Source organism: Homo sapiens, chromosome 10, assembly GCF_000001405.40.
Source record: "Homo sapiens chromosome 10, GRCh38.p14 Primary Assembly".
Lineage (NCBI taxonomy): Eukaryota > Metazoa > Chordata > Mammalia > Primates > Hominidae > Homo > Homo sapiens.
The window spans coordinates 87,114,197-87,126,784 of record NC_000010.11 but is presented as its reverse complement, the minus strand read 5'-3'; the positions used below and the strand labels follow the sequence as shown (position 1 = coordinate 87,126,784).

At 41.5% G+C, this 12,588-nt stretch overlaps 1 protein-coding gene across 32 annotated transcripts in view; it reads right to left on the bottom strand.

Moving 5' to 3' along the window:
- Positions 1 to 12,588, bottom strand: part of SHLD2 (shieldin complex subunit 2) — a 96,993-nt gene that overhangs the window by 64,681 nt on the left and 19,724 nt on the right. For 2 of the 32 annotated variants that reach the window (NM_001377159.1, NM_001377167.1), the window contains exon 3: positions 4,878 to 4,993. The exons of the other annotated variants lie outside the window; for them this stretch is intronic. The gene's annotated coding sequence lies outside the window, so the exon portion shown is untranslated. The remainder of the gene's footprint in view (positions 1 to 4,877; positions 4,994 to 12,588) is intronic. 32 annotated transcript variants of the gene reach the window in all.

Here is a 12,588-nt window from a genome sequence, read left to right as displayed (position 1 = left end):
CTTTATCTTAGCAGGACAACTAAAGTTTAAGCACCAAGAACAATAAAGTGTACGCAGCTATTCCACGGATGTAACAATCATTCCTCCTAGAAATCATATTTTGGTCACACATCACTCAGACTATTTCTAAGTATGTATAAATCATGAAGTTGAGTTTTAATAATATAAAACTTGACCTCCATAATGTCCCTGACTTCTTTTCCTTTACTAATACCTTAAATAAAAATAGCAGCCATCAACATTTTACCTGGGGTTTTTTTTTAATTTGCAGTTTCTATACTACTTCTAGTTAGTACAGAAGGTTATCAACTGCAAACTTAATACTATGGCCAAAAAAACAAAATCAAAAAAGTCATTAAGACTCAATATTCAGACAATAATCTTGATTAAAACCCAGTATTGCTCAACTGGGTGTGGTGGCTCATACCTGTAATCCCAGCACTTTGGGAGGCCAAGGTGGGAGGACTGCTTGAGCCTAGGAGTTCGAAACCAGCCTAGGTGACATAGCAAAATTCCATCCCTACAAAAAAATTTAAAAATTAGCCAGGCATGGTGGTGCACACCTTTAGTCCCAACTACTTGGGAGGCTGGGTTGGGAGGACCACACGAGCCCAGAAGGTCAAGGCTGCAGTGAGCCATGATTGTGCCAATGTACTCCAGTCTGGGTGACAAAGTAAGGCTGCCTCAAAAATAAGCAACAACAAAAAAACCCAATATTCCTCTGGCTCGAATGCAGCTACCTATATTTAGATATTCCCAAAGTGAAGTTGACAAAGTTATCCAACACAATAACAGAAATTATTTTAGGTACCAAAAAAATTGCAAAAATTACTGAGAATTATTATTATTATTATTTTGAGACAGAGTCTCACTCTTGTAGCCCAGGCTGGAGTGCAGTGGCGTGATCTCGGCTCATTGCAACCTCCGCCTCCCGGGTTCAAGCGATTCTCCTGCCTCAGCCTCCCGAGTAGTTGGGATTACAGGCACCCGCCACCACGCCCAGCTAATTTTTGTATTTTTATTTTTATTGTTTATTTATTTATTTTTGAAATGGAGTTTCACTCTTGTCACCCAGGCTGGAGTGCAATGGCGCATTCTCAACTCACTGCAACCTCCACCTCTTGGGTTCAAGCAATTCTCCTGCCTCAGCCTCCCCAGTAGCTGGGATGACAGGCACCCGCCACCACGCCCGGCTCATTTTTTTGTATTTTCAGTAGAGACGGGGTTTCACCCTGTTGGCCAGGCTGGTCTCCAACTCCTGACCTCAGGTGATCTGCCGCCTTGGCCTCCCAGAGTGCTAGGATTACAGGCGTCAGCCACCACACCCAGCCAATTACTGAGAATTATAAGTTAAAATTACAGAATTTAGTAGACAATGTAGTCAATGTCCACAATGATACTGATATCTTAAAACCTGAGAAATTCACCTAACAAAAGAAGTCCCTTAATTTTACATTACTCTAAAAAAAAATTTGATCCCTTTAATATATACCTAAGGGAATAAAGATTAAAGGAATAAAGATTAATTTGTCCTAGAGAGCCAGAGTTCACTTCAAGCTTTAAGGAATAATTCATAATCATCCAAACATAAAATTCAGATGGACACCTTAAATGAGATATGAGTTTCATCTAGCATCAGAAATTACTCCAAAGGCATTATTTCTCTTAAGCACCCCTTCTGCTTTGAAATTCAATACTGCCAATGAAACCAATTAATTTAATTTCTTTGTAATGACTTCATAGGACAGGCATGGTGGCTCACACCTGAAATCCTAACACTTTGGGAGGCCGAGGCAGGAGGATCACCTGAACCCAGGAGTTAGAGACCAGCCTGCCAACATAGTGAGACCCTGTCTCTACAAAAAATAAAAAACAAGCTGGGCATAGTGGCATGCACCTGTAGTTTCAGCTACTCAGGAGGCTGAGGTAGGAGGATCAATTGAGCCCAGGAGGTTCAGGCTGCCGTGAGCCATGATGATGTCATTGCACTCAGCCTAGTCAATGGAGCAAGATTCTGTCTCAAAAAAAAAAAAAAAAACAATTTTTTTAACTATAATGACTTTATCTCATGCAAATTTACAAAGGGTGTATAAATATTTGTTAAAACAAATGTAAGAAGTTGAGTTGATAATCACCAGTGAGCGACAGCAGCAGAGACACATGGTCATCAGTGAAGGAGACAGAAACATCTCTAAACCACCCAAAACAATTAACGTGGTATCTTCCACATAGACTTTTTTCTTTTTTTTGAGATAGGGTCTCATTCTGTTACCCAGGCTGGAGTGCAGTGGTGCGATCACAGCTCACTGCAGCCTCAACCTCCTGGGCTCAAGTGATCCTCCTGCCTCAGCATCCCAAGTAGTTGGGACCAAAGGTGCGCCTCACCATGCCCAGCTGATTTTTGTATTTTTTGTAGAGACAGGGTCTCACCATGTTTCCCAGGCTGGTCTTAAGCCCCTGGGCTCAAGCAATCACCTGCCTCAGCCTCCCAAAGTGCTGGGATTACAGGCATGAGCCACTGTGTATAGCCTCACATAGATTAAGTGAGGTCACTGTATGTGAGGTCATTGTATAATATTTTTCAAAAATGTTATTTTACATCCAAGAAATTATAAATACAATTAGTTATATCTACTCCTGTCACTTTAAACTTTATTATATCAATTTTTATTCACAAAAACATGCATTATTTCAGACATTATAATTAATGAAACAATTTTTATTCATTTGCTTTAAGTTCATTTCAAATCCAAGATTCATATTATAAAACCACTCTCCCTCCCTGAACTACACATCTCTAGTTAAATTTAGATTCAATAATGTTTTCCATGGAAATAACAAAACTCTAGTCCTCTGTATTAGTAAACTGTGTAATAAAATAGGAAATTTACTAAGGAAGAGCAAAGCAGGAGCCCTGTATGTCACTTTTAGATAACTATCCTCAAACTAAACACTTTCAATTCCAAGCATATTTCAAAGTTTTAGGAGAAGCAGGTGGATGGAGTAAGGAGATCGTGAGAACTCACTCACTACTGCGAGGACAACACTATGCCATGAGGGATCTGCCTCATGACCCAAACACCTCTCAACAGACCCCACCTCAAACACTGGGAATTACAATTCAACATAAGATTTGGTGGAGACATATATACAAGCTCTATTAGGGTGACAGCAAAACTCTGGAACTAGATAATGGTGATGGTTGCATAACAATGCGAATGTACTTAATGCAACTGAGACTTTCATGCTGTGTAAATATAGAACTCAATCAATAAAAGAAACAGTACACCAGCCTGGCCAACAACTGCTAAAAATGCAAAACTTAGCGAGGCATGCACACCTGTAGTTCCAGCTACCCTGGAGGCTGAGGTGAAAGAATTGCTTGAACCTGGGAGGTGAAGGTTGCAGTGACCCGAGATCATGCCACTGTACTCCAGCCTGGGTGATAGAGTGAGACCCTCACTTAGAAAAAAAAGAAAAAAGAAACAATAGCACTATATAACAGAAAGTAGACATTGACATCTCATTGAAGAAAGTCACCTTCTAAAATAAATGTTGATTATTTTGGTATCCCTTTAAAAATCTTATTGGGACTCATGCCTGTAATCTCAGCATTTTGGGAGGCCAAGGCAGGCCTTGAGGTCAGGAGTTCGAGACCAGCCTAGCCAACATGGTGAAACTCCGTCTCTACTAAAAATACCAAAAAAAGGCCAGGTGCAGTGGCTCATGCCTGTAATCCCAGCACTTTGGGAGGCCAAGGCGGGTGGATCACAAGTTCAGGAGTTTGAGACCATCCTGGCCAACATGGTGAAACCCCATCTTTACTAAAAATATAAAAAATTAGCCGAGCGTGGTGGCAGGTGCCTGTAGTCCCAGCTACTCGGGAGGCTGAGGCAGGAGAATGGCGTGAACCCGGGAGGCACAGCTTGCAGTGAGCCAAGATCAAGCCACTGCACTCCAGCCTGGGCGACAGAGCGAGACTCCGTCTCAAAAAATAAAATAAAAATAAACAAAAATAAATAAATAAAAACACCTTATTGTTAACTTGATAAGTAAATTATAAACATGTCAAAATGAAATCTTTTACTATAGTGTCAATCCTTGAGCTTTTCTATTTATTAGGAATTCTCATAACACTCTTAGCACCAGCTTTCCAACGCTTAGTCTGCCAGGGCAGGAATCAATTTTATATAGTGTTGGGTGTCCAAGGGAGATAATACAGTCCTGGGTTCTTAGTTTCTATTTCTGGTTGGGCCAGTAAAGCCCCTTCCTCATCCCTCCTTTCCACTTATCACTACAGACAGAAACTAAAAACCATGGCTTCAGGCTGCTAAAAGCATACAATAAAACAAAATCAAACAACAACAAAATAAAAGGAAGGATGGACAGGCTAGGAAGTGAATTTTAAAATGGGCAGAATATTTGATTAAATTTAGCTTGCCAATATTGTGTTAAATTTTAATACAGGAGAGTAACATATTTATTTCTAATAAACAAGATCAGCAAAAGATGAAAAACTTTTTAGATACCTTGGTCTGCTGTAGCACTTGGGAATCATGAATCTCTCTTGTGGCACTCATGAATGTAGCCTTTTTTTTTTTTTTTTTTTTTGACAGTCAGTGGAGAAAGACAACATGGAAAAAAAAAACCAGCCACGCCAAATGCAATAACAAGCCCATCAATTTCTGTTACCTCAAATGCAATAGAAAATACCACTTTTGGCCAGGTTCAGTGGCTCACGCCTGTAATCCCAGAACTTTGGGAGACCAAGGCAGGCGGATCACTGTAGGTCAGGAGTTCAAGACCAGCCTGGCCAACATGGCGAAACCCCATCTCTACAAAAAATACAAAAATTAGCCAGGCATGGTGACATATACCTGTGATCCCAGCTACTTGGGAGGCTGAGGTGGAAGAATCGCTTGAACCTAGGAGGCGGAGGATGCAGTGAGCCGAGATCACACCACTGTACTCCAGTCTGGCCATCAGGACGAGACTATCTCAATTAAAAAAAAAAAAAAAAAAGAAAGAAAGAAAATACCACTTTTGCTGAACCTGATTACAGGCAAAGCCAAATTCAGTCACTTGCATAATAATATGCCCAACATTCGTTCACAATGTTCCTGCCTGCTCTTAACGGGCTTTGAGTAGAGCAGGCTCTCAAAAGCCATGAATTATATGAATTATCAAATTAAACAACAGTTTCCACTTAAAATAATAACATTTATTTTGGAAATATACAAACCAGACAATGAACTAGATGTTTTACACATACTATTACTCACTTTAGCCTCATAATATTTATGGATAGGTTAAGCAGCTTGCCTAAGGTCACAACACTATTACATTCAAAAGCCAGGATTCAGGCCGGGCTTGGTGGCTCTCACCTGTAATCCCAACACTGTGAGGCCGAGGCTGGTGGATCACTTAAGCCCAGGAGTTTGAGACCAGCCTGGGCAACATGGTGAAACTCTGTCTCTACTAAAAATAGAAAAATTAGCTAGGCATAGTGGAGCACACCTCTACTCCCAGCTACTCAGGTGGCTCAGGTGGGAGAATCACCTGAGCCTGGGAGGCGGAGGTTGCAGTGAGCAGAGATCACATCACTGCACCCCAGCCTGGGCCACAGAGTAAGACCCTGTCTCAAAAAATAAAAAATTAAAATTAAAAAGCCAGGATTTAAACCAAGGTATGTCATACATAAAATCATTTTTTGCTAAAACACTCTTTTTTTTTTGAGACAGAGTTTCGCTCTTGTTGCCCAGGCTGGAGTGCAATGGCGCAATGTCGGCTCACCGCAACCTCTGCCTCCCGGGTTCAAGCAATTCTCCTGCCTCAGCCTCCCAAGTAGCTGGGATTACAGGTATGCACCACCACACCCAGCTAATTTTGTATTTTTAGTAGAGACAGGGTTTCTCCATATTGAGGCTGGTCTCGAACTCCTGACCTCAGGTGATCCGCCCACCTCGGCCTCCCAAAGTGCTGGGATTACAGGCGTGAGCCACCGCACCCGGCCTAAAACACTCAAGTGTGGGCTGCAAAGGAAATATTTTCAGTTTACTTCGCAAACATTAATATTCTCTCTTCAATACAGCTTTTAAATGTTAAGGAATGAGAAAGAAGAACGTACTTGAAAAGAATATTACTGAAAAATGCAGTGAGATGTCTGGAAGAAACATGCAATGGCTGTGTGCCTACTATGTGCCACATGCTGTGCTGGCTATATTAAAAACTTCAACACGGCCGGGCGCGGTGGTTCACGCCTGTAATCCCAGCACTTTGGGAGGCCGAGGCGGGCAGATCACGAGGTCAGGAGATCGAGACCATCCTAGCTAACACGGTGAAACCCTGTCTCTACTAAAAATAGAAAAAATCAGCCGGGCGTGGTGGCGGGCACCTGTATTCCCAGCTACTCGGGAGGCTGAGGCAGGAGAATGGCATGAACCTGGGAGGCGGAGCTTGCAGTGAGCCGAGATCATGCCACTGCACTCCAGCCTGGGCGATAGAGCAAGACTCTGTCTCAAAAAAATAAATAAATAAATAAATAAATAAATAAATACCTCAACACTTCACTGTTACAGCAGCCTTGGGAGGGAAATATTGGTAATCTCTTTTACATATGAAGAAACTGAAACGTAGACAAACCTTCAAGGTTACCGAAGTTGCAAGGGACAGAGTTGGAACTAGAAATCAAATTCAGCTCATTAATACCTATCACTAGTGCTTACTAGGGGGCATTTCGAATAGAATATTAGAAATCTCATCACATACAACTCAAACCAACCTATTTTTTCTTTGCTCAGGATGCTGTTGTGAAAACTGAGAAATCCCTATAGATTTTTCTTCCAGTAGCCTTATTTTAAATAATTATCCACACTTAGGTTATATATGTTAAGTACTGCCCATAAACTCCAAAAGTTGATTGCTATGAAAACCAAACAGGCATCCAGTAGTAATTGTGAAAATATAAGCAATTCTGTCCTATATACATGATTTTTTTTTTTTTTTTTGAGACAGAGTCTTGCACTGTTGCCCAGGCTGGAGTGCAGTGGCGCGATCTTGGCTCACTGCAACCTCCGCCTCCCGGGTTCAAGTGATTCTCCTGCCTCAGCCTTCCGAGTAGTTGGGACTACCCGAGTAGTTGGGACTACAGGTGCGCGCCACCATGGCTAGCTAATTTTTATATTTTTAGTAGAGACGGGGTTTCTCCATGTTAGCCAGGATGGTCTCGATCTCTTGATCTCGTGATCCACCCGCCTCAGCCTCCAAAGTGCTGGGATTACAGGCGTGAGCCACCGGCGCCCGGCCCTATACACATGATTTTGAACATACTGACAGATGGAGAAAACCACTTTGGAAAAGATACTTCACATGTTCTAGAGACGATTTAAACCATTAAGCATTCTATGAAGCTTCTGAAGGTCTGTCAGATTTTAAATGACAACAGTGAAATTTTAAAACAAGAACAGAAGTCAGCACCAAAGCTAGTTTAACATTAATAATAAGTGAGCCAATAAATAGGTCTATGTTTGCCCAGGCAGGTTTTGCTTATTATGTCAGTTGGAAAGCCAGAAGGAAACTGGTTTTAACTCTTAATATAACCTGTATCATGACACCATCACTTTACCAGAAATGTAGCTGATGTCAGCATAAGACTGAGACAGTTTACATTTAAAACTGTTGTTTCCTTTCCAACTATTTTCATAATTCATTCATGGTATAGGATTGAGACTATTTCCTTAAACAGAAAAAAATGGGTAATTAACATTGAGAACTTTCCATGTGCCAGATACTGTATGAACTGTCTTAATTTTCATAGCCACCCTGCAAGATATTATCCTCATCTTTTTAGAGGAAGAAACAAGTTTCAAGAAATGAAGTAGGTTTTCTAAGGCCACAGCTATAGTAAAGAGGTGGAGCTGACATTCAAGCTTGGATATGAATTATTATAATTTCCACAGCACTACACAGCTGTCATTTTCTCTACCTGCAAAACTAAATAAATACTGTTAAAAATAAAAGATGATCTCCAAGATCTCTAAACATTAAAATTTTACAATAAACTGGTTGAGGTGACACATGCCTATATTTTCAGCTACTCAGGAGTTTGAGACTGGCCTGGACAACATAGCAAGACCCTGTCTCTAAATTTAAAAAACAAATTACAATGAGATAATCTTAGACCAGAGAAAAGAAAGTGAAATAGCTATTTGGATTATAAACTGTTTTAGTAACTCAAATGTAATGTGTGGTGGTGACAATATCTTTGATTCCTGGGAAGGTCATTGTGAAAGGGAATAGAAAATGCCTTGAAGTCAAAATATAAGGCTCTCAAATAGAAAAATAAATATAACATTTAAGTATTATCAACAGAGAACCAAGTTAGAAAAAACTAGTTATAGTCTGAAACAATGCTGTTTAAAAGACTGCAGTCACCAGTGTAAACTGACTCAGGCAACACTTCCCAGGGTCCATGCCGTGGACAACTGACTAATCTCTCTATAAATACTAAAAGATAATAAGGTTCCATAACCAAACAAGATGGGGAAATGCTGGATTTAATGTCAAGCCTGTTTCCATACTGGTTATAGGCTTGAGAACCCTATGGAGCAAGTCTTTCTGGATTTGAATCCCAGCTCTTCCATTCTAGCTTAGCAGTGTAACTTAAATGAGATAGTTGCTGTAAAGACTGGAAACAATAATGCACGTGGGAGCCTTAGAACAGAGCCTTAGACAGTGCTCAATAAAGGTTAAATCATTAATAGTAACATCATTTCCCAGAGCCTTTATTAATCTAAGTTGAGGTTCATTGTGAATTACCAATGGGATAGAGTTTGCAGTTTCTCAAACTTATTGGATGATGGAACCCACTTTTTCATAGAATATCCCTCGAGAAAACTGGTTAATGTCTTTAAAACAAACAAAACTCTTCGAAACAATAGAGAATTCCATCACCAAAATAAAATGCTGTTTTTTGTTTTTTGGGGTTTTTTGAGACAGGGTTTCCCTCTGTTGCCCAGGTTGGAGCGCAGTGGCACAATCACAGCTCACTGCAGCCTCAACTTCCTGGGCTCAAGAGATCCTCCCACCTCAGCCTCTCAAGTAGCTGGGACTACAGGTGCATGCCACCATACCTGACTAATTTTTTGTATTTTTTGTAGAAACAAGGTTTTGCCATGTTGCCCAGGCTGGTTTCAAACTCCTGGGCTCAAGCCAGCTGCCCACCTCGGCCTCCCAAAGTGCTGGGATTATAGGCGTGAGCCACCACGCCCAGCCTAAAACGTTTTTAAAAACTGAATTTTTCTTCACTAAATTTTCCTTATCTCTTATCTGCTACCACCTGCCTTTGAGCAAAAGTTCTTTTTTGTTTAAGACTGAGTTTCACTCGTTGCCCAGGCTGGAGTGCAATGGTGCAATCTCGGCTCACCGAAACTTCCACCTCCCAGGTTCAAGCTATTCTCCTGCCTCAGCCTCCCGAGTAGCTGGGATTACAGGCATGCACCACCACGCCCAGCTAATTTTGTATTTTTAATAGGGATGGGGTTTCTCAATGTTGGTCAGGCTGGTCTCAAACTCCCGACCTCAGGTGATCCGCCCACCTCGGCCTCCCAAAGTGCTGGGATTACAGGCATGAGCCACCTTGCCCGGCCGCAGCTAAAGTTCTAACAGATGACACTCTCTGATGTTCACTAAAGACTTGGGAACGTTGTCTCTACTTCATAAACCCACTCCATAGCTGGATCCTGTACTCTGTCATAACCAGCAACTGCTCCTCCCGTTCAATCTTCAATTCCACTATCCAGTCTTGAACACCAACCACTTCATGTCCCAGCAGCCACCTTCTGGTTTCATTTGTTCCCTATTCAGCCTAGACTCAATGGCCCACCACTTCAAACACTCTCGCTACTGAAATATCTTGCCTCCTTACCCTCTCTGTCACACTGACACATAAAATCCAGGCCAAGATCAATCCAACTGTTCAATTGTGTGTTCACCCAGGCTGCTGAGCCCTGAGAGAAGGAGGAGATCATTCATACAAATATATATACCACAGCCGTGAAAAATCCATGATTCCATTTTTTCTAAGTATTCCCACTCAGCTTGCCCTCTCACCTCCCTCAGAGGCTTTCTTGAAATTCTCCTTTTCTCCTCAGTCCCCTACAATCATCATTTCCTCCCCACTATCTCAGTGGATGACCTTATCCCCCCTTCACTGAAAAAAATAAAGTGTTCATATCCCGAATTCTCACCTGCCACCCAAACACTTCCCCATCTGCACCATCTATTGTTCCTTTATTCCTACTTCAGTGGAAACTGTATTCTCATCTGTACTGCAACCCAGTATCTTCACTCCATTCCCACTAACCTCAAAGACAATGTACAATCATTCACACACACCTCCTTTATTCTACATCTTCAACTTCTCCCTTCCTTTTTCCTTTTTCCATTTAGCATATAAACATGCTGAAGTCTCTCTCATCTAAACACAGCCTGCCCCTCTACCTACTATCTTGTATCTCCCTATGAGCAAAGCTTCAAAAAGAGCAAAGCTTTCTGAAAAGAATGTTTGCACTTACTGTCTCCACTCTCAACAAATATCCACGCTTAGTCCTCAGCAACCTGGCATTTATTTCTATTATGGAGACTCCACTGAAGCTGTTCTACAGAAGGTGGCAATCAGCTGCTTAACACCAAAATCAAGGGACACTTCCCTGTCCTCATATTCATTCAACTGTGGGCTACATTTGACATTGCAGATGGCTCTTAAAATTTTTATCTTCATTTAATAAATATTTACTGAAAGCTACTTTGTTGATAAGAACTTCAGATAAAATGATGAACATGACACAGTCACAAGCCCTCAAGAAGCTTAAAGTTTCTATGATAATTCCTACTCCTCCTTCCACCTCTCAGATCACTCCTTCCTTCTCTACTCAACCTTTAGAGCTGATATTCCCCCAGGATTCCTTTCTTTGCTCTTCTCACATCCATCCCAGGATTAATGTGTTTACATTACCTATTCATTGATGTTGACGAAATTTTTATCACTAGCTTAGAATTCTTGACCTTTCATCCTCCTCAAACTGTCGTCTCAATTTTTTGTCCTCTTCCAAGTAAAACTTTCAGAAAACTATCTTTGTGCACTCCACTTCCTCATATCCAATTCACGTTTTAACCCATGACAATCTGAACGTTTTAACCCATGACAACCCACTACACTGAAACTCCTCTTACAACGTCACCACTACCTCATGATGTTAAAAGGACGTGCTTATCATTATTCAAACTTTCAGGGCATTCCCAACAGAACTGACCCACTCCACTATCTAACCTGTACATGTGAAATTTGGCACAGCTGTATACTGGACCCTATTCTATTTCCCACACTCTATCTCTAGGTGTTCCTACCCATTCCCATTGTTTTAAATATGACTTATGCTGGGCTCAGTAGCTCACACCTGTAATCCAAACACTTTGGGAGGCCGAGGCAGGAGGATCACCTAAGGTCGGGAGTTCGAGACCAGCCTGGCCAGCATGGTGAAACCCCCGTCTCTACTAAAAATACAAAAATTAGCTGGGCATGGTGGCCCGTGCCTGTAATACCAGCTACTCTGGAGGCTGAGGTAGGAGAATCACTTGACCCCGGAGGCGGAGGTTGCAGTGAGCCAAGATCGCACCACTGCACTCCAGCCTGGGCGACAGAGCACGACTCTGTCTCAAAATAAATAAATAAATAAATATGACTTATAACTCTGGTCCACATCTTTCCTGAGCTCTAGCTTCATTTACTCAACTCTCCACTTGGCAACCCCATTTGGACAAACTCAGTTTATCCAAAATGTTTCCCACTAAGTCTCTTCCAGAACTACTGGAGTTATTAAAGCCAGAAACAAAGAGCCACACATGACTACTTACTTTTCCTCACCTCTCATATCAAACTATCTCCAAAATATATTTTGGCTATTCAGTTATCTTCAACTCACTACTATGTCATAATATAGCTATTGTTATTTCTTCCCTAGAGTACTGACTGGTTTTTTGTTTGTTTGTTTTTGTTTTTTTGAGACTGAGTCTTGCTCTGTCGCCCAGGCTGGAGTGCAGTGGCGCAATCTCGGCTCACTGCAACCTCCACCTCCCGAGTTCAAGTGATTCTCCTGCCTCAATCTCCTGAGTAGCTGGGATTACAGGCACCCACGACCATGCCTGGCTAATCTTTGTATTTTTAGTAGATAAGGGGTTTCACCATGTTGGCCAGGCTGGTCTCGAACTCCTAACCTCAGATGATCTACCTGCCTTGGCCTCCCAAAGTGCTGGGATTATAGGCGTGAGCCACTGCACACGGGCTTGACTGACTTTCTAACCAAGTTCACCAATGTCACCTTGTCCCTACCAATCCAGTCTCCAGGAGAAAGCTAAAGTGATCTTTATAAATATAATATAAAATCGCTTTCTCAGCCTTTTGGCTAAGATCAAGTGTAAATATAATATAAATATAAATTGAAACACATCACTCACTATTTAAAACCCTTCAATTGATATGCTGGGAATCTAATATTAAGGTAGTAACAGAGTATTCTCTTTCCCACAAAC